Genomic DNA, 24,710 nt, shown 5'->3' on the forward strand with positions numbered 1-24,710 from the left:
GGTTCAATATTTTAAAGAGTGACCCTTAGGAAATAGGCATATAGTGATTGGTGTTGGATGTAATGATATACCATAATTAATGTGAGCACTACAGAGTCTTGAGCCCCACATCTCTGCACTGTGATGAATTTTCCAGTTCAATACTATTCATTTCAGTTAACTTTGACTCAATTTACATTTGTATCAATTCAAGGTAGCATTTGATATTGTGGAAAGAGGGTTGGCTGTTAGAATTCATGAACTTCCATATTAACTACTACTTGTGTGATGTTTAGCAACTCACCTATTGTCTCTAAACCTTAGTTTCCTCATCTGCAAAATGGGAATATTATTACCTACCTCATATTTGATATAACGTCCCTAGCACAATGATTATATCGTCTTCCTCCCACTCCTTCAATTCATGCCAGTTCAATTTTACTTAATTTAACAAACATCAACAATTTTTCAACTATATTGCTGGAACACAACAATGCATATGTTGCACCATTGCAAATACGGGCTTCTGGGAAGCCTCTGTAATTGAAAAGTTTTTCCTTGGGAAAATATGTATTATTTGATTATGTAAGGAATCAGTTATTGTCATGTTTTATTTATATCTAATCCAGTGAGTTTATTAATGTCTAAATCAGTGGGAAGATCACAAAGGTAAGCTTGATATTTTCTCCAAAAATTTGGTGTCTACACCCTATTTTTCTATAAAATGAACACATTTTCTTAAATTTTAGGAAGACAGTAGTCTTCTATAACCAGGTCAGTGGACATGGCCTTACTGAAAGGCATAAGTGAAGCTAAGCATTGCAATGAATAAGCTGCCCCTGACTCCTCTTGTGCCCCACTTTCTGCTCAGCCCTATTACTTTCCCAGCCACTGCTGTAATAACCAGTTCCACATGAGCTTTTCCACTCAAAACTCAAAATACACGCAACCCAGAAATGTGAACGGATTAGGAGGCCAATAGATAAATTATTTCCTTTTCTATCTCCCAGACAGATGGGTCGAAGATGTATTTTATAAGGCTTTCCAGAAAATCTCATGTGATGAACATCAGTCACATAGCAGGGTTCAACTCGATCATGCATCCTTGTCTTAGTTTTTTCTCCTTTCCTGTTTCACTCTACCTATCCCTCATTCCTGTTTCCTCATATCACTTTAGGGAGAACTTCAGCTAAGACTGAGCACAATGGGGCAATTTTTAAGGCTTAACTCCTCCCCATTCCATAGCTCTTAGCATGGTAAACTGGTAAGGGTGGTCAAGTTTGTATAAGGGATCAACGAGATTCTAGGAAAGAAAAGATTAAAATGTCCTTCTCTTTGGGGTTAAAGATTATTAGAATGACTCTGATTTATTAAGATTGTCCCAAGTGAGGCTGATCAGCAGCAGAAGACACTCAGGGCCCTTAATGTGAAATTTGTTATGAGTGTAAGGGTGGATTTCAGTTGTTGCCATAGACCAGGGTTGAGCACAGTGTGAGGATCAGGCTGGAACTGCCACCTAACCTGGACTTTGTGAATGCACTTGGGGCAGGTTACCTGTGCATGTGAGTACTACACAGGCAGCTGTAAAAATGAAAGCCCAGTCCTCAGGCAGTATAAGCCATTACAGATAAGGGTAACCCTGAGGGGAGGTGCTTCTGTTTTCTGCTTTCCCTGTAAGCTGCTGTGCTGAGCAGCAACGTCAGAACTAATGCATGTGGTCATCAGTGGATGAGCAGGATTACATAAGGCCTTTACTGTGTGTAAAACAAGATTCTGCAGTTTCTTCCTCTCAGAGACTTTTGAAACCAGGGCTGGGGCCTAAGAACAGAACAAATGTGGCAATGGTAACGTCAGTGGCTGCTGCTTGGATGGAAGCATCCTTACCCTGAGGGGAGTGGGCCTGGAATACAGATGAGTCAGTGCCTCAGAGCACTGGAACTAGTTGGCTAAGGCGGGATTGAACCAGGAAGAAGAGAGATAGGTTTGTGGTAGTCAATCAAGATAGAAGCTGGACTTGCAAAATGAGCCTTTCAGACTTTATGTAAGGGTAGCAGACAATTAGGAGGCACTATCCTATGAATATCTCATGACCCAAGTTCTATGGATTCTTCCAAGTCTCATTGAAAAACAAACAAAAATCTTGGCATGCTTCTGATCCTTCTGGTGACTCAAAGGTGGGAAAATGAAGCTATCAAGGCAAGAGATTATGACAGTTAAGATTTCTTGACTCTTAGCTATTGTGGCTCTACGGTTTTTGTTTTTTTGTTTTTTGGGTTGTTTTTTTTTTTTTTTTTTTTGAGACGGAGTCTTGCTCTGTCGCCCAGGCTGGAGTGCAGTGGCGCGAGCTCGGCTCACTGCAAGCTTCGCCTCCCGGGTTCACGCCATTCTCCTGCCTCAGCCTCCTGAGTAGCTGGGACTACAGGCGCGCCCGTCATCACACCCGGCTAATTTTTTGTATTTTTAGTAGAGACGGGGTTTCACCGTGTTAGCCAGGATGGTCTCAATCTCCTGACCTCGTGATCCGCCTGCCTCGGCCTCCCAAAGTGCTGGGATTACAGACGTGAGCCACCACGCCCAGCCCGGCTCTATTTTTTTTTTTTTTAATTTAGCTGAACTGCAATTACAATTCCCAGAATCTCCTTCCTTTTATGGTTCCAAGCTACCAATTGGCCATAAGAAAATTCTGCATGGGGTTAAAAGGCAGTAATACAACAATGGTCATGTTTATGCTTGAAGGGTTGGTGCAGAGTCAGGATTGGTTGTAGCTCATGCACCTTATCACAGGTATTCTGGCTTGCCTGGTTGGTGTGAGGCAGTAGTCGAGCACTGTTCTTCCAACTCTGGCTAGGTCTCATCCTTCACCTTCTGTGAACCCTGGGCCAGGATTCTGTTTATCTCCATAAGAGGATTGGCTTCTCCAGCAGATCACTCTCATTAACCAAGCAGGAAGCATGGAATTGAGTCCCAGATCTCCTCAGAGGTTCCAGCTGGTCCTGCTCTTCCTATTTAACAGCGACTTTTCTTTTTTTGCACAGCAAGCCCTGCTGATATCAGGCACAGAACTAGATGCAAACACAGTAGCCCCACATCTACTGTTTCACCAGCTCCCACAATATTAAATGGTAAAATCTCTATGAGAAGCCCCATATTTTCAGTCACTCCTGGAACATTCACTTCTCTGATCAATTCCTGCCTGATGCCATGGACAAAAAAAAAAGGTTTCGATTTCACAACTTTGGGCAAGAGGCATTTCAGCCTGCTTTGGCCTGATTGTACTTGTGCTGCTATATGGGGGTATGGGTGTGGACAGGTGGGGTTAAGGTAAGAATGGTGATTCATGAGGGGAAGATTCTCCAAGGGGTGTCCCTTGTGTGAATACAGCAACATTACTAAAATAATATAAAAACACTCTACGGGGAAATGAGAAGTGAGGAAGGTAAAGGGAGCAGACTGGGGACAAATTGGAGAGTCTACCTCTTTAAGAGGAGGCAGCAAATCTGAAACCCACTGTTATTAGGTGAGAAGAATGACATTCAGATTGCTGGATCTGATTTCATAAAAGGTTGGAAATTGAAGTTCTTATACAAAATTTCCCATTTTTTTAATTGATTTTATTTAATTTTTAATTGTTATGGGTACACAGTAGGTGTATATATTTATGGGATACATGTTTTGATAAAGGCATGCAATGGAGTAATCACATCATATGGGGTACATCTTTTGATAAAGGCATCCAATAATAATAACATCAGGGTAAATAAGGTATCTTTCACTTCAGGAATTTATCATTTTTTTGTGTTAGAAACATTCCATTTCCACTCTTTTAGTTATTTTAAATGTACAATAAATTATTGTTGACTGTAGTCACCCTGTTGTGCTATCAAATACTAGGTCTTATTCATTCCTTCTACTATATTTTTGCACCTATTAATCATCAGAAAATCCTCCAAGTCCCCCGTTACCCTTCCAAGCCTCTGGTAGCCATGATTCTACTCTCTATCTCCAAGAGTTCAATTGTTTTAATTTTTAGCTCCCACATATGAGAACATGCAAAATTTGTTTTTCTGTGCCTGGCTTATTTTGCTTAACATAATGTCCTCCAGTTCCATCCATGTTTTTGCAAATGATAGGATTTCATTATTTCTTATGGCCAAATAATATTATATTGTGCATATATATCATGTTTTCTTTATTAATTCATCTGTTGATGGACACTTAGGTTGATTTCAAATCTTTCTATTGTGAATAATGCTGCAATAAACATAGGAGTGCAGATATTTTTTGATATAATAATTTCCTTTCTTTGGGATATATACCTAGCACTGAGATTGCTATGTTATATGATAGTTTTCTTTTTTTTATAATTTTTTGAGGAAACTCAATACTGTTCTCCATAGTAGCTGTATTAATGTATGTTCCCACCAACAGTGTGTGAGTATTCTCCTTTTTCCATATTCTTGCCATGATTCCTCAGTCTGTCTTTTTGATACAAGCCATTTTAACAGGAATAAGATAACACATTTCAGTTTTGATTTGCATTTCTCTGATGATTAATAATGCTAGCATGTTTTTATATACCTGTTAACCATTTGTATGTCTTCTTTTGAGAAATGTCTATTTGGGCCTTTTGCCCATTTTTAATCAGATTATTAGATTTTTTTCCTATTGAGTTATTTAAGCTCCTTGTAGAGTCTGGTTATTAATTTCTTGCCAAATGGTTAGCTTGCAAATGTTTTCTCCTATTCTGGGGATTGCCTCTTCACTTTGTTGATTGTTTCCTTTGCTGTGCAGAAGCTTTTTAGCTTGCTGTGATCCTGTTTGTCAATTTTTGCTTTGGTTGCCTGGGCTTGTGAACCATTACTCATGAAACCTTTGCCCACTCCAATGCCCTGGAGAGTTTCCCCAATGTTTTCTTTTAGTGGTTTCATAGTTTTAGCTCTTAGACTTAAATCTTTAATCCATTTTGATTAGATTTTTATATATAGTGAGAGAGAGGGGTCTATTCATTCTTCCATGTATGGATATCCAGTTTTCCTAGTACTATTTATTGAAGAGACTGTCCCTTCCCCAGTGTATGTTCTTGGAAACTTTGTCAAAAATGAGTTCGCTGTAGGTAAGTGTATTTATTTCTGGGTTCTCCATTCTGTTCCTTTGATCTATGTGTCTGTTTTTATGATAGTACCATGCTGTTTTGGTTACTACAACTCTGTAATATAATTTAAAATCAGGTAATGTGATTCCTCCAGCTTTGTTCTTTTTGCTCAGGATAGCATTGACTATTCTGGGCCTTTTGTGGTACCATATAAATATTAGGATGTTTTTTGTCTTTCTATGAAGAATGTTATTGGTATTCTGACAGGGATTGCATTGAATCTGTAGATTGCCTTGTGTAGAATAGACAGTATAACAATATTGATTTTTCCATTTCATGAACATGGAATATTTTTCCATTTCTCTGTGTCCTCTTCAATTTCTTGCATCAATGTTTTATAGTTTTCATTGTGGAGATCTTTCCTGTTTTGGTTAAGTTTATACCTTGAAATTTTATTTTATTTATAGCTATTTTTAATGGGGTTACTGTCTTAGTTTTTTTTTCAGATTATTTGCTTTTGGCATATAGAAAAGTTACTGATTTTTATGTGTTCATTTTGTATCCTGCAATTTTACCCAATTTGTTTATCAGTTCTAATAGTTTTCTGGTGGAGTCTTTAGGTTTTTCCAAGTATAAGATCATATTATCTGCAAACAAGGATAACTTGACTTCTTTTATTCCAATTTGGTTGTGCTTTATATCTTCTCTTGTCTAGCTGATCTAGCTAAGACTTCCAGTACTATGTTGAATAACAGCAGTTAAAGTGTGCATCCTTGTCATATTCCAGATCTTAGAGGAAAGACTTCATGTATTCCACATTTGATACTAGCTTTGGGTCAGTTATGTATGTCTTTTATTGTGTTGGGGTATGTTCCTTCTAGAGCCATCTTTTTGAAGGTTTTTATCCTGAAGAGATGTTGAATTTTATTGAATGCTTTTTCAGCACTGATTGAAATTATCATATGTTTTTTGTCCTTCATTCTGTTCATATGATGTATCGTATTGATTGAGTCACATATGTTGTAACATTCTTGCAGCCCTGGCATAAATCTTACTTTGTTGTGATGAATGATTCTTTTATTGTGTTGTTTAATTTGGTTTGCTAGTATTTTGTTCAGAATGTTTGCATTAATGTTCATCAGCGATATTGGCATATAGTTTCTTTCTTGTTGTGTCTTTGTCTGGTTTTGTTATCAGGGTAATACTGCCCTCATAGAATAGGTTTGGAAGTGTTCCCCCCTCCTCTATTTTTTGCAATAGTTTGGGTAGGGTTGGTATTGGCTCTTCTTTAAATTATTGGTAAAATTCAGTAGTGAAACCATTGGGATCCAGAATTTTCTTTGATGTGAGACTTTTTATTATAGCATTCATCTCATTACTTGTCATTGGTGTATTTAGGTTTTGAATTTCTTCATGATTCAATCTTGGGAGGTTTTATGTATCTAGGGATTTATTTATTTATTCTAAGTTTTTCAATTTATTGGGATATAGCTGCTCATAGTTGTTGCTTCTAATGATCCTTTGAATTTCTGCAGTATCAGTTGTAATGTCTCATTTTTCATCTCTGATTTTGTTTGTTTCTTTCTTTTGCTCTTCATTTGAATAAAAGTTGCCTTGCAAAAACTTGACTTTTCATGTTTTTCATCTTTCATATTTTTGTTACAATTTTAGCTATTTGTTCTCTGATATTTATTACTTCTTTTATTTACCAATGTTCAGTTTGGATTGCTCTTGCTTTCTAGTTCTTTAAGATGCATCATTAGCTTGTTTATTTGAGGTTTTTCTACTTTTTTAATGCAGGTACTTACTGCTATAAACTTTCCTTTTAGCACTGCTTTTGCTGTATCCCATGGGTTTTAGTATGCTGTGTTTCCATTTTCATTTGTTTAAAGAAATTTGCTTTATAATTTCTTTATTGACTCACTCCTCATTCAGAAGCATACAGTTTATTTATATATGCTTGTATAGTTTTCAAAGTTCCTCTTCTTGTTGATTTATACTTTTATTCCACTGTGGTCAGACAAATTACTTAATAAGATTTCAATTTTTTTTAGTTTTTAAAGTCTTTTTCTGTGACTTAACATATGGTCTATTCTCAAGAATGATCCATGTGCTGCGAAGAATTTGTATTTTGCAACCATTGGATGAAATGTTCTCCAAATATCTATTGGGTCCATGTGGTCTATAGTGCAGATTAAGTTTAGTTTTTCTTTGCTGATTTTCTATATGTCCAATGCTGACAGTGGGGTGTTTAGTTCTCCAGCTATTATTGTTTTGAGGTCTAACTCTCTTTAGCTCTAATAAAATTTGCTTTATATATCTCGGTGCTCCGGTGTTGTATACATATATATTTAAAATTGTTATTTCCTCTTGCTGAATTGACCCCTTAATCATTATGCAATTACCTTGTCTCTTTTTACAGTATTTATATTAAAATATATTTTATCTAATGTAAGTATAGCTACTCCAGCTTTTTATATTTTTGGTTTTCATTTGCATGTTATATATTTTTAATTCCTTTATTTTTAGTCTGTGTGTCTTCAGAGGTGAAGTGAGTTTCTTGTAGGCAGCATATATTTGGGTCTTTTTTTTTTTTAATCCATTGAGCCATTTTATGTCCCTTGATTAGAGAATTCAGTTCATTTACATTCAGTGTTCTTACTGATAGGTAGGAATTTACTACTTTCATTTTGTTATTTGTTCTCTAGTTGTTTTATGGCCTTCCTTCCTTCCTGCCTTCCTTCCTGTCTTCCTTTGTGGAAAAGTGATTTTTCTCTGGTGGTATGTTTTAATTTCCTGCTTTTCATATTTCGTGTATTTACTTTTTATTTATTTATTTATTTACTTATTTATTTATTTAGGGCCACCACAATGCTTGCAAATTATATCTTATAAGCCACTATTTTAAACTGATGACAATTTAACTCTGATTCTAAGAGAAAAAACAAGCAAAGAGAAAACTAACAAAAACTGTGTAATTCAACTTCATCACCCTACTATTTAACTTCTTGTTTCTATTTGTCATTTTTGCTATTTTTGAAAAAGCTTTTGTAGTTATTATTATTATTTTTTTTTGAGACAGGTTCTCACTCTGTTGCCCGGGCTGGAGTGCGGTAGCATGATCTCAGCTCACCGCAACCTCCGCCTCACAGGTGCAAGTGATTCTCCTGCCTCAGCCTCCTGAGTAGCTGGGATTACAGGTGCACTCCACCATGCCCAGATAATCTTTGTATTTTTAGTAGAGACAGGGTTTCACCATGTTGGCCAGCCTTGTCTCAAACTCCTGACCTCAAGCAATCTGCCTACCTTGGCCTCCCAAGGTGCTGGGATTACAGGCATGAGACACTGTGCCTGGCCTAGTTATTATTCTTGATAGACTGGTCTTTTAGTCTTCATACTCAAGATATAAGTAATTTACACACCACAATTGCAATGTTAGTGTATTCTGTGTTTGTCTGTGCACTTACTGTTATCAGTGAGTTTTGTGCCCACAGATAATTTCTTATTGCTTGATAACACCCTTTTCTTTCAGATTGAAGAACTTTCTTTAGCATTTCCTGTGAGACAGGTCTGTGTTGATGAAATTCCTCAGCTTTTGTTTGTCTCAGAAAGTGTTTATTTCTGCTTCCTGTTTGAAGGATGTGTTGGATATATTATTGGATATAATATCCTAAGACAAGATTTTTTCCTTCTGCACTTTGCATATGTCATGCCGCTCTCCTTGCCTGTAAGGTTGTCACTGAAAAGTTTGCTGCCAGACATTGGAGCTCCTTTGTATGTTATTTGTTTCTTTTCTGTTGATGCTTTAGTGTCCTTATCCTTGACCTTAGGGAATTTGATTATTAATTATCTTATTTAGGTTACATGTGCTTGATGTTCTATGGCTTTCTTGTACTTAAATATTGATATCTCTCTCTGGATTTGAAAAGTTCTGTGTTATTATTTCTGAATAAACTTCCTACCCCAGTCTCTCTTTCTATTTCCTCTTTAAAGCCAATATCTCTTAGATTTGTCCTTCTGAGGCTATTTTCTAGATCTTGTAAGTGTGTTCCATTCTTTTTTCTTTTTTCTCCTCTGACTGTATTTTCAAGTAGGCTGTCTTCTGTCTTCAGCCTCGGTATTTATTCTGCTTGATTAGATCTGCTGTTGAGAGACTCTAATGCATTTTTCAGTTTGTCAATTGAATGTTTAAGTTCCAGAGTATCTGCTTGACTTTTTAAAAATTTCAATCTCGAGCTTTGCCCTCCCCCTCCTGAGTGTTAGTGTGCCCAGGAACATAATTACGACTCAAGACAGCCTTTCCTTGGGATTTGGAAAGTATGCAGTATTACAGATAAGAAGATGAGAAGTCTTTCTGGTCACCAAATTAAGATGGCCAAATAGGAACAGCTCCAATCTACAGCTCTCAGGGTGAGCAACGCAGAAGACGGGTGATTTCTGCATTTCCGTCTGAGGTACCGGGTTCATCTCACTAGGGAGTGCCAGACAGTGGGCGCACGTCAGTGGGTGCAGCACACCTTGCACGAGCCAAAGCGGGGCGAGGCATTGCCTCACTCGGGAAGCACAAGGGGTCAGGGAGTTCCCTTTCCTAGTCAAAGAAAGGGGTGAAAGAAAGCACCTGGAAAATTGGGTCACTCCCACCCGAGTACTGAGCTTTTCCGACGGGCTTAAAAGACGGTGCACCACGAGACTATATCCCGCACCTGGCTCGGAGGGTCCTACGCCCACGGAGTCTTGCTGATTGCTAGCACAGCAGTCTGAGATCAAACTGCAAGGAGGCAGCGAGGCTGGGGGAGGTGCGCCCGCCATTGCCCAGGCTTGCTTAGGTAAACAAAGCAGCCAGGAAGCTCGAACTGGGTGGAGCCCACCACAGCTCAAGGAGGCCTGCCTGCCTCTGTAGGCTCCACCTCTGGGGGCAGGGCACAGACAAACAAAAAGACGGCAGTAACCTCTACAAGCTTAAATGTCCCTGTCTGACAGCTTTGAAGAGAGCAGTGGTTCTCCCAGCACGCAGCTGGAGATCTGAGAATGGGCAGACTGCCTCCTCAAGTGAGTGCCTGACCCCTGACCCCTGAGCAGCCTAACTGGGAGGCACCCCCCAGTAGGGGCAGACTGACACTTCACACGGCCAGGTACACCTCTGAGACAAAACTTCCAGAGGAACGATCAGACAGCAGCATTCGCGGTTCACGAAAAACCGCTGTTCTACAAACACAGCTGCTGATACCCAGGCAAACAGGGTCTGGAGTGGACCTCTAGCAAACTCCAACAGACCTGCCGCTGAGGGTCCTGTCTGTTAGAAGGAAAACAAACAGAAAGGACATCCACACCAAAAACCCATCTGTACATCACCATCATCAAAGACCAAAAGTAGATAAAACTACAAAGATGGGGGAAAAACAGCAGAAAAGCTGGAAACTCTGAAAAGCGGAGCACGTCTCCTCCTCCAAAGGAATGCAGTTCCTCACCAGCAATGGAACAAAGCTGGACAGAGAATGACTTTGACGAGTTCAGAGAAGAAGGCTTCAGACGATCAAACTACGAGCCACAGGAGGAAATTCAAACCAAAGGCAAAGAAGTTAAAAACTTTGAAAAGAATTTAGACGAATGTATAACTAGAATAACCAATACAGAGAAGTGCTTAAAGGATCTGATGGAGCTGAAAGCCAAGGTTCGAGAACTACGTGAAGAATGCAGAAGCCTCAGGAGCCGATGTGATCAACTGGAAGAAAGGGTATCAGCGATGGAAGATGAAATGAATGAAACGAAGAGAGAAGGGAAGTTTAGAGAAAAATGAATAAAAAGAAATGAACAAAGCCTCCAAGAAATACGGGACTATGTGAAAAGACCAAATCTACGTCTGATTGGTGTACCTGAAAGTCATGGGGAGAATGGAACCAAGTTGGAAAACACTCTGCAGGATATTATCCAGGAGAACTTCCCCAATCTAGCAAGGCAGGGCAATGTTCAGATTCAGGAAATACAGAGAACGCCACAAAGATACTCCTTGAGAAGAGCAACTCCAAGACACGTAATTGTCAGATTCACCAAAGTTGAAATGAAGGAAAAATTGTTAAGGGCAGCCAGAGAGAAAGATCGGGTTACCCTCAAAGGGAAGCCCATCAGACTAACAGCGGATCTCTCGGCAGAAACTCTACAAGCCAGAAGACAGTCGGGGCCGATATTAAACATTCTTAAAGGAAAGAATTTTCAACCCAGAATTTCATATCCAGCCAAACTAAGCTTCATAAGAGAAGGAGAAATAAAATACTTTACAAACAAGCAAATGCTGAGAGATTTTGTCACCACCAGGCCTGCCCTAAAAGAGCTCCTGAAGGAAGCACTAAACATGGAAAGGAACAACTGGTACCAGCCGCTGCAAAATCATGCCAAAATGTAAAGACCATCGAGACTAGGAAGAAATTGCATCAACTAACGAGCAAAATAACCAGCTAACATTATAATGACAGGATCAAATTCACACATAACAATATTAACTTTAAATGTAAATGGACTAAATGCTCCAATTAAAAGACACAGACTGGCAAATTGGATAAAGAGTCAACACCCATCAGTGTGCTGTATTCAGGAAACCCATCTCACATGCAGAGACACACATAGGCTCAAAATAAAAGGATGGAGGAAGATCTACCAAACAAATGGAAAACAAAAAAGGCAGGGGTTGCAATCCTAGTCTCTGATAAATCAGACTTTAAACCAACAAAGATCAAAAGAGACAAAGAAGGCCATTACATAATGGTAAAGGGATCAATTCAACAAGAAGAACTAACTATCCTAAATATATATGCACCCAATACAGGAGCACCCAGATTCATAAAGCAAGTCCTGAGTGACCTACAAAGAGACTTAGACTCCCACACATTAATAATGGGAGACTTTAACACCCCACTGTCAACATTAGACAGATCAACGAGACAGAAAGTCAACAAGGATACCCAGGAATTGAACTCAGCTCTGCACCAAGAGGACCTAATAGACATCGACAGAACTCTCCACCCCAAATCAACAGAATATACATTTTTTTCAGCACCACACCACACCTATTCCAAAACTGACCACATACTTGGAAGTAAAGCTCTCCTCAGCAAATGTAAAAGAACAGAAATTATAACAAACTATCTCTCAGACCATAGTGCAATCAAACTAGAACTCAGGATTAAGAAACTCACTCAAAACCGCTCAACTACATGGAAACTGAACAACCTGCTCCTCAATGACTACTGGGTACATAACGAAATGAAGGCAGAAATAAAGATGTTCTTTGAAACCAATGAGAACAAAGACACAACATACCAGAATCTTTGGAACACATTCAAAGCAGTGTGTAGAGGGAAATTTATAGCACTAAATGCCCACAAGAGAAAGCAGGAAAGATCCAAAATTGACACCGTAACATCACAATTAAAAGAACTAAAAAAGCAAGAGCAAACACACTCAAAAGCTAGCAGAAGGCAAGAAATAACTAAAATCAGAGCAGAACTGAAGGAAATAGAGACACAAAAAAACCCTTCAAAAAATTAATGAATCCAGGAGCTGGTTTTTTGAAAGGATCAGCAAAATTGATAGACTGCTAGCAAGACTAATAAAGAAAAAAAGAGAGAAGAATCAAATAGATGCAATAAAAAATGATAAAGGGGATATCACCACCGATCCCACAGAAATAGAAACTACCATCAGAGATTACTACAAACACCTCTATGCAAATAAACTGGAAAATCTAGAAGAAATGGATAAATTCCTCAACACATACACTCTCCCAAGACTAAACCAGGAAGAAGTTGAATCTCTGAATAGACCAGTAACAGGATCTGAAATTGTGGCAATAATCAATAGCTTACCAACCAAAAAGAGTCCAGGACCAGATGGATTCACAGCCGAATTCTACCAGAGGTACAAGGAGGAACTGGTACCATTCCTTCTGAAACTATTCCAATCAATAGAAAAAGAGGGAATCCTCCCTAACTCATTTTATGAGGCCAGCATTATCCTGATACCAAAGGTGGGCAGAGGCACAACCAAAAAAGAGAATTTTAGACCAATATGCTTGATGAATATTGATGCAAAAATCCTCAATAAAATACTGGCAAAATGAATCCAGCAGCACATCAAAAAGCTTATCCACCATGATCAAGTGGGCTTCATCCCTGGGATGCAAGGCTGGTTCAATATACACAAATCAATAAATGTAATCCAGCATATAAACAGAACCAAAGAAAAAAACCACATGATTATCTCAATAGATGCAGAAAAAGCCTTTGACAAAATTCAACAACCCTTCATGCTAAAAACTCTCAATAAATTAGGTATTGATGGGACGTATCTCCAAATAATAAGAGCTATCTATGACAAACCCACAGCCAATATCATACTGAATGGGCAAAAACTGGAAGCATTCCCTTTGAAAACTGGCACAAGACAGGGATGCCCTCTCTCACCACTCCTATTCAACATAGTGTTGGAAGTTCTGGCCAGGGCAATTAGGCAGGAGAAGGAAATAAAGGGTATTCAATTAGGAAAAGAGGAAGTCAAATTGTCCCTGTTTGCAGACAACATGATTGTATATCTAGAAAACCCCATTGTCTCAGCCCAAAATCTCCTTAAGCTGATAAGCAACTTCAGCAAAGTCTCAGGATACAAAATCAATGTACAAAAATCACAAGCATTCTTATACACCAATAACAGACAAACAGAGAGCCAAATCATGAATGAACTCCCATTCACAATTTCTTCAAAGAGAATAAAATACCTAGGAATCCAACTTACAAGGGACATGAAGGACCTCTTCAAGGAGAACTACAAACCACTGCTCAATGAAATAAAAGAGGATACAAACAAATGGAAGAACATTCCATGCTCATGGTTAGGAAGAATCAATATCGTGAAAATGGCCATACTGCCCAAGGTAATTTATAGATTCAATGCCATCCCCATCAAGCTACCAATGCCTTTCTTCACAGAATTGGAAAAAAATACTTTAAAGTTCATATGGAACCATAAAAGAGCCCGCATCACCAAGTCAATCCTAAGCCAAAAAAACAAAGCTGGAGGCATCACGCTACCTGACTTCAAACTATACTACAAGGCTACAGTAACCAAAACAGCATGGTACTGGTACCAAAACAGAGATATAGATCAATGGAATGGAACAGAGCCCTCAGAAATAATACCACATATCTACAACTATCTGATCTTTGACAAACCTGAGAAAAACAAGCAATGGGGAAAGGATTCCCTATTTAATAAATGGTGCTGGGGAAACTGGCTAGCCATATGTAAAAAGCTGAAACTGGATCCCTTCCTTACACCTTATACAAAAATCAATTCAAGATGGATTAAAGACTTAAACGTTAGACCTAAAACCATAAAAATCCTAGAAGAAAACCTAGGCATTACCATTCAGGACATAGGCATGGGCAAGGACTTCATGTCTAAAACACCAAAAGCGATGGCAACAAAAGCCAAAATTGACAAATGGGATCTAATTAAACTAAAGAGCTTCTGCACAGCAAAAGAAACTACCATCAGAGTGAACAGGCAACCCACAAAATGGGAGAAAATTTTCGCAACCTACTCATCTGACAAAGGGCTAATATCCAGAATCTACAATGAACTCAAACAAATTTACAAGAAAAAAACAAAGAACCCCATCAAAAAGTGGGCAAAGGACATGAACAGACACTTCTCAAAAGAAGACATTTATGCAGCCAAAAAACACATGAAAAAATGCTCACCATTACTGGCCATCAGAGAAATGCAAATCAAAACCACAATGAGATATCATCTCACACGAGTTAGAATGGCAATCATTAAAAAGTCAGGATACAACAGGTACTGGAGAGGATGTGGAGAAATAGGAACACTTTTACACTGTTGGTGGGACTGTAAACTAGTTCAACCATTGTGGAAGTCAGTGTGGCAATTCCTCAGGGATCTAGAAGTAGAAATACCATTTGACCCAGCCATCCCATTACTGGGTATGTACCCAAAGGACTATAAATCATGCTGCTATAAAGACACATGCACACATATGTTTATTGCGGCACTATTCACAATAGCAAAGACTTGGAACCAACACAAATGTCCAACAATGATAGACTGGATTAAGAAAATGTGGCACATATACACCATGGAATACCATGCAGCCATAAAAAATGATGAGTTCATGTCCCTTGTAGGGACATGGATGAAATTGGAAATCATCATTCTCAGTAAACTATCTCAAGAACAAAAAACCAAACACCGCATATTCTCACTCATAGGTGGGAATTAAATAATGAGAACATATGGACACAGGAAGGGGAATATCACACTCTGGGGACTGTTGTGGGGTTGGGGGAGTGGGGAGGGATAGTATTGGGAGATATACCTAATGCTAGATGACGAGTTAGTGGGTGCAGCGCACCAGCATGGCGCATGTATACATATGTAACTAACCTGCACATTGTGCGCATGTACCCTAAAACTTAAAGTATAATAAAAAAAAAGTCACCAAAAAAAAAAATTTCAATCTTTGTTAACTTTCTTTGATAGGATTCTTAATTCCTTCTCCGTGTTATTTTGAACTTTATTGAGCTTCCTTGAAATAGCTATTTTGAATCCTCTGTTCTGAAATGTTACATATGCCTGTCCTTCTGGGATTGGTCCCTGGTACCTTATTTTAGTTCAGTTGATGAGGTCATGTTGTCCTGGATGGTCTTGATGCTTGTGGATGTTCAGAATGTCTGGGCTTTGAAGAGTTTGGTACTTATTCTTATCTTTGCAGTCTGGGCTTATTTGTACCATCCTCCTTGAGAAGCATTCCAGGTATTCAAAAGGAATTGAGTGTTGTGATCTAAGTTTTTGGTCACTACAGCTGTATCTGCACTAGTGGGCACTCCAAGCCCAGTAATGTTGCAACTCTTGCAGAATCATATAAGTATCACCTTGGTGGGCTTGGATAAAGTCTGGAGAAACTTTCTTGATTACCAGGCAGAGTCTCTTGTCCTCATCCCTCAGTTTCCCCCAAACAAATGGAGTCTTGCCATGTTGAACTGGAGTTGGTGAAGGGTGATGCAAGCAATCCTGTGTCCACCACAGCTGGGACTGTGCCAGGTCATTCCTGAAGCCAGTATGGTACTGAGTCTTTCCTAAGGCCTGTGATGACTACTGCCTGGCTACTGCTGATGTTTATTCCAGGTCTAAGGGCTCTTTAGTCAGAAAGTGGTGAATACTACCAAGACTGGATCTTTCTCTTTAGGGCAGTGGATTCCCTTCTGTCCCAGGGTGTGTCTAGAAATTCCATCAAGGAGCTAGGGCCTGGAATCAGAGGCTTCAGGTGCTTGCTGCCTTATTTATTGTGGCTAAGCTTGCATCCAAGTTGCAAGACAAAGTCCTCTTTACTCTTTTACTCTTTACTCTACTATCCTCAGGCAGAAGGAGTCTTTCCCTGAGCTGCACTTCCTGGGGTTGGAGGAGGGGTGATACAGGAACTCCGTTGGCCACCCCATCTGGTGTCTCACTGGGTCACATTCACCCCAAGTCCACTGGCTCTGAGCCCAGTGCAGCACAAGGACTTGCCAAAGTTCTGCAGTCCTTGTGGACTGCCTTTAATATTTATTCAGGACTCCATGGCACTTTAGTTTCTGGTGGTGGGGCTAGGCAGAACTCGGGTTCTTGCCACTGGAGTGGAGGAGTACCCTCTGGCTGGGACTGGTTTAAATGCTTCTTCCATGGTCACTGGACAAATTCTGCCCTGTGCTGTGTTCCACTGTGACAGGGCAGGACTGAGTTTCAATACCAGTTCCCACAATCATGTCTCTCTCCCTCACCCAAGCATACAGATTCTCTCTTCATGAGCTGTCAAAAGATGAGGACAGAGTGGTGTAGGCAATGCAAGACTGTCCTTCCTGCCCACTTCAGTGCCTCTTCCCTTGATATAATGTTAGAACCAGGTAACGTGATCGCTTACCTGATTTTTGTATCTTATGAAGATGCTTTCTTGTGGGGATAGTTGTTAAATTTGGTATTACTGCATGGGAAGAATTGCTGGATTGTTCTATTTGGCCATCTTGCTTCCCCCAAATTTCCCAATTTTAAGTGCCTATAACAAAAACAGCAAAGTAATAATAACTTGAGAGAAAAAAAAATCAATGTCTAAACTGAACAGATTCTGTCTATAGGCCAGATTTGGTCCAGTGTAAGCAGGAACTCTAGTCAAATTATCTGGGTTCCAATTTTTGCTCCAGGATGTACTAGATATGTAACCTCACATGAGTTAGTTCTGTTCCTCAGTCCTTAACATATAAAGTGAAACAAATAGCACCAACCTCCTACAATGTTTATGAGATGAAATGAGTTTCTAATATATTTCCATGTTTCTAAGACACCACTGAATATAAGATGCATCGTTTTTTTATGTGCCCCTAAGAACGAAAAGATGGCTGCTAATTAACCTATGACACAATGCTTTCTTATCACTCGGAATTGTTGTTTTATAATTATTTAAACAGCTCTTTCAGAGTTATTTTCACAGTAATTTTTATCATATGTCACTCATGGGCATATATGTGTGTCTGTGTGTGTGTGTGTGTGTGTGTGTGTAAGAAATACTAAGTGAAATAATTTGGTTTGTATTCTTAAAACCTCCCCACATTATTAGCCTGACATGAATTAGTTTTCCATTGTGATTTAAACACAGTATTATTGTTGGTGCTATTAGCAGCACTGGTGATGTAGCAGTTAAAAGAGTGCTCCCCATTGTCTCCTGGAATTTTTTCTAAGTCACTGAAACCATAACAAGAGTTTTCATGTTGGCACTTTCTTGATCTTACTAGAAGATGTCAATGGAGAATTTTCAAACAGAAAGACTTGTGTTGTTTCTTTAAATGGTCCTTAAGTTAAAGATTGTTGACTAAACATTCAAAGGATTTCAATTGTTCAGCCACTCACCAAGAATAACAACAAAAAATGTTTGTGCATATACAAACATCAACAGCTACATAATCACTGCTGTTTTTCTGAGAATGACTGTCAAAATTTTATTAATTAGAAGATATTTTTGATTTTCCTAGTTGATAAAATGTAAAAAAGTTTATTTGAAAAGCTTTAAAGAAATATCAAAATGTTTGATAAATAAAAATAAATTTTTATAGAGAAAAAGGCTAGTCTTTTTACTTAAGTCTCAGCTCCATCATATATTATCTATATGGCCTTCTTTAAGGCATTGACCTTTTTATCTGTAAAACAAACATAATTTGACTTGCAATCATTGTATGTGACTGTGTACATGGGTGAATGGATGGTCATGTGTACAGCATCTTGTGTATGTCAATTCAGCTATCTGAGTCTGAGGTTTGAAAGAACCAAAATTGGGGAAAGAAAGGAACATCAAAAGATTCATGAATTAGATCCGTTTGGAAAAGGCAGACCAAATTTAAAAATTTCATCAAAGAAGAAAATACAGATACGTAATATTGGTTTTGGCCAATAAATGTAACCTGTTGAGAACAGAGGAGAAAAGTTGATGAGGAAAGAGAGAAAATAGCTCAAAGAGAGAAGCATATGCCTGCATTGGACATTCTGGTTGGGTGATCTCAGAAAGCTTGCGTCAAGGTCCATTTGTCTGACCTGGGATGTGTGGTCACACAAGTCCAGGAACAGTCATTGTTTGTGACGCTGAAGACTCAGGGGCCTCCTTTTTCCATTAAACTGGATTCCAAAGTCCCTCCTGTCAGAAAAAAAAAAAAAAAGAAACACTGCTTCAGCTTTTTTGGTTCTTATTTACAAATTGGCCTGTTGGTCTCTTCTTATCCTAAGCTCCTGAAAGTATCTGGACTTAGAAAATGAGGTCAGTGCCAGAGAAAAGTAAGGCAGAGGGAGCAAGCTACCTCCCTCCTGCCCCACATCCAAGGATCACAAATGATTCAGAGAGCTGAATAAGGCATTGTATATTTCATTTACAATGATTGTACAACAGCTGTATAATCGATGTTGTTGAAGTTATGAATGTTGCTCAGAGTGTAGCATAAATGTCCACAGTGAGCTGCAAATGTGAATAAGAATGGCCCTGCCTGCATAGTAATTGGTATTATTACTGGAATGAATGGGAAAGCCACATATGGATGAATGGGTGGGGCTACAAAAGGGTATAGCCTGAGAGACAAATGGTAGCTTTTCTTTTCTCTTATCCATGCCTGTTATTTCAAATAACCATCCACAGTGGGTGGAGGAAAAGGGATAGAAAGTAGGAATATAGTGGAGAAAGCGTGAAGCTGCTTATCTACTACTTTATATCATGCCCCTTCCTGTCTGCCAGTGCCCACACTTATTAATTATAATAGAGTATATCACACATCCCCTCCTGGAAAAAACAAAATCTGTCTGTTACAAAGGGTAGAAGGATAGACTCAGGTGAAGGGTGTGGGGGTGGGGGGAGACATAGGGAAGAGAAACACTTCAGGTTAATTGGAGCTGAGAATATAAAATACTCGTCTTAAAGTGTGTGCTTCAGTTATGAGAAGGAAAGTGTCGAGATCATAATGTTTTCTGTGCAAGATTCAACACAGCATGGGTGTTTTAAAACAAGCAGCAATCATTTCTCATGGAGAAATTATAAGCAGCAGCTCCAGGCTCAGGACAAGCGCATGGGAGAGCCGTTCTTTTCATTTCTCTAGAAAGGCACAAGGAGAAACACGGTAGTTAGCAGATGAGTCCCTTGAACCAAATGGCAGAGTTACTGACGAAGAGAATTATATAGTTCAATTTACTTATTGCTTTATTCATTCAGAAAGAAATGACACTGAATTCTCCTGGAATTTTACATATTAGGAGGGAAGAAATTTTGGTTTTAAAAATCAAACTGTCTGGCTTCTGCAGAGGTTGCAAAGCAAATTGGTCAACTTCATAATCAGGAAATAACAGAAAATTGTTAAATGATTTATTTGGCAAAGCTGGCTATGTTATTTCTTTTAGAGAAGAGACCTTTTCAGCCTGATACAAAAACAGCCTTTGCCCTGATAGACACAGTTTTTGTTTGCTTGCTGTCATCCTGGGTGCACCTATGTGGCATCTGAATCACTATTAGGTCTCTGTTTAAAGATTCATTTTTTTACCAGAAATAATTTCTCTAGAGTAATAAACAATGCACTGCATAACACCACTTTAAAAATTCTTAGAAATAACTGCAAGGAAATTAGTTACAATTATTCACATAGTTCCTCAAAATGGTAGCACATAAGAAGAAAGAGGGGTCCCTCTCACCCGTTTTTTGAAGACCATCTTTGTTTACTTCATTCCCAAGTATTAAGAGATTGCATGATCCATTTGCATAGGATAACTAACATATACCACATCATTTGCACGTCTGCAAGTACACGTGAGTAACCGTAATTACACGTGACACCAATTACTCTATTACTTTGTATTAAATTATAATGGAAAATTCCACTAGAGAATTGAAGCCTAATTGCATCTTAATTTGCATAATTTTGCATATTAATTACATCTCAGATGAATAATAAATTTCAGCAGATTTTTAATTTATGCATAGACACAAAAACAAGTGGAGAAATAATTTAGAAAAAAATACCAGCAACTATTACTTAGGGCATTCAACTAATTTTGCTTAGTTTAGCAAAACAAAACTTGGTTTGTTTAATATAGCATCTTTAGACTGATTGCTGTTTATTGCACAATATGTCAGTCTTGAAATATAGGTGCAGGCATGATTTTTCTTAATAAAAAAAGTGTTCAATTGTAGCATTTTAAGTTCAGTTTTTTATAGTTTGATAAAACTGTATTGGAGATAATATTGTTTCATTGGAAATATCTTTAGTTGTGATACACTTTGATTGAGACTTAATTTCTGTTGCAGTTATTTTAAATGCAGGGGATTATAAAAATAGAATATAAAAATATCTTTGTGAAGGAGATCACTAATAAAATATATCAAGTGTTTTCTTTCTTGAATTTACTATGAAGTCACTCAAGATTGTTTTAGTGATTTTTGCATGAATGATTCAGAGTGAGAAATTCCATGTGTTTCATTTTGTAGCATATAACAATTTAGAGGAATGGCTTTCAAAGATTACTACTATTTTCTGACTGTTTTCTTTGTTTCTCATTGCTTGCATGGTAAACAGTAACATTTGTTCTTAATTGCTAGAGACCTGGGTTTTAAATTTAGTCACCTTTACTTTGGATTTATTAAATAAACAGAAGGTATATTTCTCAGAGTTAATTAATGCATTTTAGTTACATAGCTGTATCTAGGTTGACAGTCGTTAAAAAAAAAAGAAAAAAAACACCAACTTAGTGTTCCTCAAATGACAATATGTAACTGAAAATTCACTCAGTGTTCCTCAAATGACAATATGTAACTGAAAATTCATTTCGTCCACTTCTTGCCTAAACCCAATCCATATTGCTTTATACCTGCTGCCACTGTTAAAGGATGGGCGGAAACCTTTAGCTCTGCCTCCACTAAGTCTAATACTATGATCATTTGCCAAATTATACAAAAAGAGAGGATGACACGTCCTAATAAATCAGGAAACTGTCAGGATTAATAATCTCAGCCGTCATCTGTTTTCCTATAAAAGCCCTACTGGCATCAAATATTTTCCAGTTTGTTTTGCAGTTCTGTTGGTGCAGAAACTGGACCTGTGCCAGCCTGGTGCCGTGCAACCTCAAAGAAGCCATTCTATATGTCTTTTATCGCATTAGTCTGAATTTCACAATTGTGCTGGTTCACAACGCAGTGAGCAAGAAGTCTTTACAACATATGTTCCCCTTCTCCGGTTACCAATCATTGTTACAATTTGCTATTTGATAGGCAACACTTTGAGCTTAAAGGCTTAGATTTGTCTTTGTTTCCTAATGTTTCAATATTTTCTGTTTGCATCAAAAAAGTTTGCCTCATTCTTAGGCAAGCTAGAACCAATGGAAAAATAAAAACTCACCAGTGCTTTCTTTATTACATGAATTTCTATTAGGTGTTTGACTCTGGTCTTTGGTTTCTGTTGCCAGGTTACAGCCCTAGGAACATCTTTGATTATTTGTATGTTTAAAAGCAGAAATAGTTTAGCTATCTAAAAGAACCGAATCGATGATTGCATGTGTTTTTTCACTTTTTTTGTTCAACCCTTTTGACCAGGTTCTTATATTAAAGAGAGATTTGAGCTGGATGAATGCCTCAAACCAACCCAGTCCTTCCAACATTTAAACAATGGTTCCCTCTTGTGGCTATGCTTCAATAGTGCGATTTAGGAAAGGAGGAAAGTAAAAATCTCGTGACTATAAAACAGATTTTGACAAGCATACTGTAGTAATCTACTTGCACCTTGTATTTAGAGGCATTCCCAGAACTCTCAAGTCTTTCTGATTTATTTTCAGTAAGGTGTAAGTTTTGGTGTTTGGGGTGAAAGAATAGCAAAGCATCCTGATGCTTATTTCCTGGTGGTATCAGAAAAATACTCTCCTATAGGGGATAGAGTCCACATTTTGGGACATTTTTGAATATGTTGAAGTGTATGTTGGAAAAAAGGCAGTTTAGGCTGTCTCTGTAGCTTTAGAAATAAATGTATAACTTCACTATTAAAAATATAAATGATTTCCTAAAGGAACATCCTAAGTGTACAATTAAATCTAGATTATGCTTGTCCTTTCAGATTTTATCCTCAAAGATCATCTGAGAGGGGGTAAAAATCTTACAATTAACCAGCTCCTCTAAGATGATCTTTCCAAGCATCTTTGATATATGCTTTTAGAAATTTATTTTGAGTCAGATTTCCCCAGGGGCCACCATCTTACACTCTCCGAATTACTGTAAATAAAGAGCATTCTTCTGACACCGCAACTGTAAACAGCCCACAAATACTTTCTGTCTGTGTTAAGCTATGTTCAGAACAGCAACAGACATGTCCCTTAAGTAGATTTTTTTTTTCTTAAGACTGTGTTTAATGTAAAAGTAAAGTGTCGTTAGTAACAGAGACAAGAATCTGCACCAAGGTCATATGACTGTATCTACAAAAGATTGCAACCATCCACGCAAGTCGGATGCGATGTGTTTCAGTACACTTCAAAATTCTGAGTAATAAAAATGCCAACTTTCAATTTTACTTTAAGGATCCTTTTGAAAGAATGAAAGCATTCGTACTTGTCAAGCCATTTTCAAGCCACAATATTTCTCATTCACCACAGAGTTTATTTATTTGGAAGTTTAACATGGAAAATGAGGTTCGGGATGGAAACGGACATGATTTCTGTGTGTCGAAGGAGGGTGATAGAGAGCTAGTCGTCAAGAAGCAAGAGTATGGCGATAATATAATTACCGACAACATATCACTTAGTCTTCTGATTCCAAATGAACTCCTTCCGTTCCCTCCCTCATTTAGCACAGGCTCAGGCACCAAGTTACAAGTCTCTTCACTTCATTGCCAGGGCAGCTCCGCATGTTTTGCTCATGAGCCTCCATTTTGTTTAGAAGTGCACACCTTTCTATTGTTAATAAAAACACAGGCAGTTAATTTTTCACTATTCACCTGCAAGATGAGTCACATCAAAAGCTCTCATAAGAGAGGAAGGTTATGTATTAAGGAAATAGGACTAGCATCAACTTAAGTTTCAGCAGATTCCAAAATTAAGAATGATTTTTCCCCCCTTAAAATAGTGAGCTTAAAAAGCAAAGTTATTTCCCATTTTGGTTCTCTGATGCCACTTTCTACCACGACTGGGCTTGGGAGGCACCTTTGCACATGCATTTCCTTTTGTCAGATTCAACCCAGGTCTGCTCTGAAGCTTCCTGTGGATTTAATGCGGAATCCACTATAATTATTTCCCTTGGACTTTTTCCCTTTCTTTTGTTCATTAAAAATGTATAAGACTAGGCTGGGGGTAGTGGCTCACGCCTGTAATCCCAGCACTTTGAGAGGCCTAGGCAGGCGGATCACCTGAGGTCTGGAGTTCGAGACCAGCTTGGACAACATGGTGACACCCCGTCTCTACCGAAAGAAAGGATACAAAAATTAGCCAGGCGTGGTGATGCGCACGTGCTGAGGCATGAGAATCGCTTGAACCTGGGAGGCGGAGGTTGCAGTGAGCCAAGATCATACCACTGCACTTCAGCTCTATCTCAAAAAAAAAAAAAAAAAGACATGATTAAATGAAACAATGACCAGGAGATGTTCCTCCACAAATGTGTAGTGATTGATTACCCTCTTGTGGGTATTAAAAATGTCCATCAACTCGTTTTTTTATATGATCTGTACCATCAAACTGTTAATTGCTCCTTGCATTTGCTCACTTTTTGTCTCTGCTTCTGTCTCTCTCCCTCTCTGTTTGTCTGTTTCTCTCTTTCTTGATGAGATTATCAATGTAATTCACTTGCACAGGAAAAATAAAACCTAAAAAGCCAATTGGCTCCTTACCTTCCTCCTTCATTCTCTTAGGAAATCACAGAGGCACTTGGAAGTTAGCAAAACAAAGAAGGAAATAGGGGAACTGTAACACAGAGGAAACCAGAATTTAATGATCCAGTAAAATGTCAACCAAATATTCAGGCTTTGAGACTGACACTTATTTGCCAGCTTTTTATTAATATTTTGCCAAAAAAAGGTGAAAGAAATCCTGAGGATTACCTTAT

At 38.4% G+C, this 24,710-nt stretch overlaps 2 long non-coding RNA genes across 3 annotated transcripts in view; one reads left to right on the forward strand and one right to left on the reverse strand.

Moving 5' to 3' along the window:
* The window catches only part of LOC107986066 (uncharacterized), a 116,751-nt gene that overhangs the window by 358 nt on the left and 91,683 nt on the right, over positions 1–24,710 (forward strand). The window lies entirely within an intron of this gene.
* On the reverse strand, positions 16,835–23,482 carry LOC105376978 (uncharacterized). The gene is made up of 4 exons (XR_001740610.2): positions 23,401–23,482; positions 18,698–18,797; positions 17,040–17,171; positions 16,835–16,927 (listed from the first exon to the last, which is right to left on the reverse strand). It is a non-coding gene; the product is annotated as an uncharacterized LOC105376978 (long non-coding RNA).

Source organism: Homo sapiens, chromosome 3 (assembly GCF_000001405.40).
Source record: "Homo sapiens chromosome 3, GRCh38.p14 Primary Assembly".
Classification (NCBI taxonomy): Eukaryota; Metazoa; Chordata; class Mammalia; order Primates; family Hominidae; genus Homo; species Homo sapiens.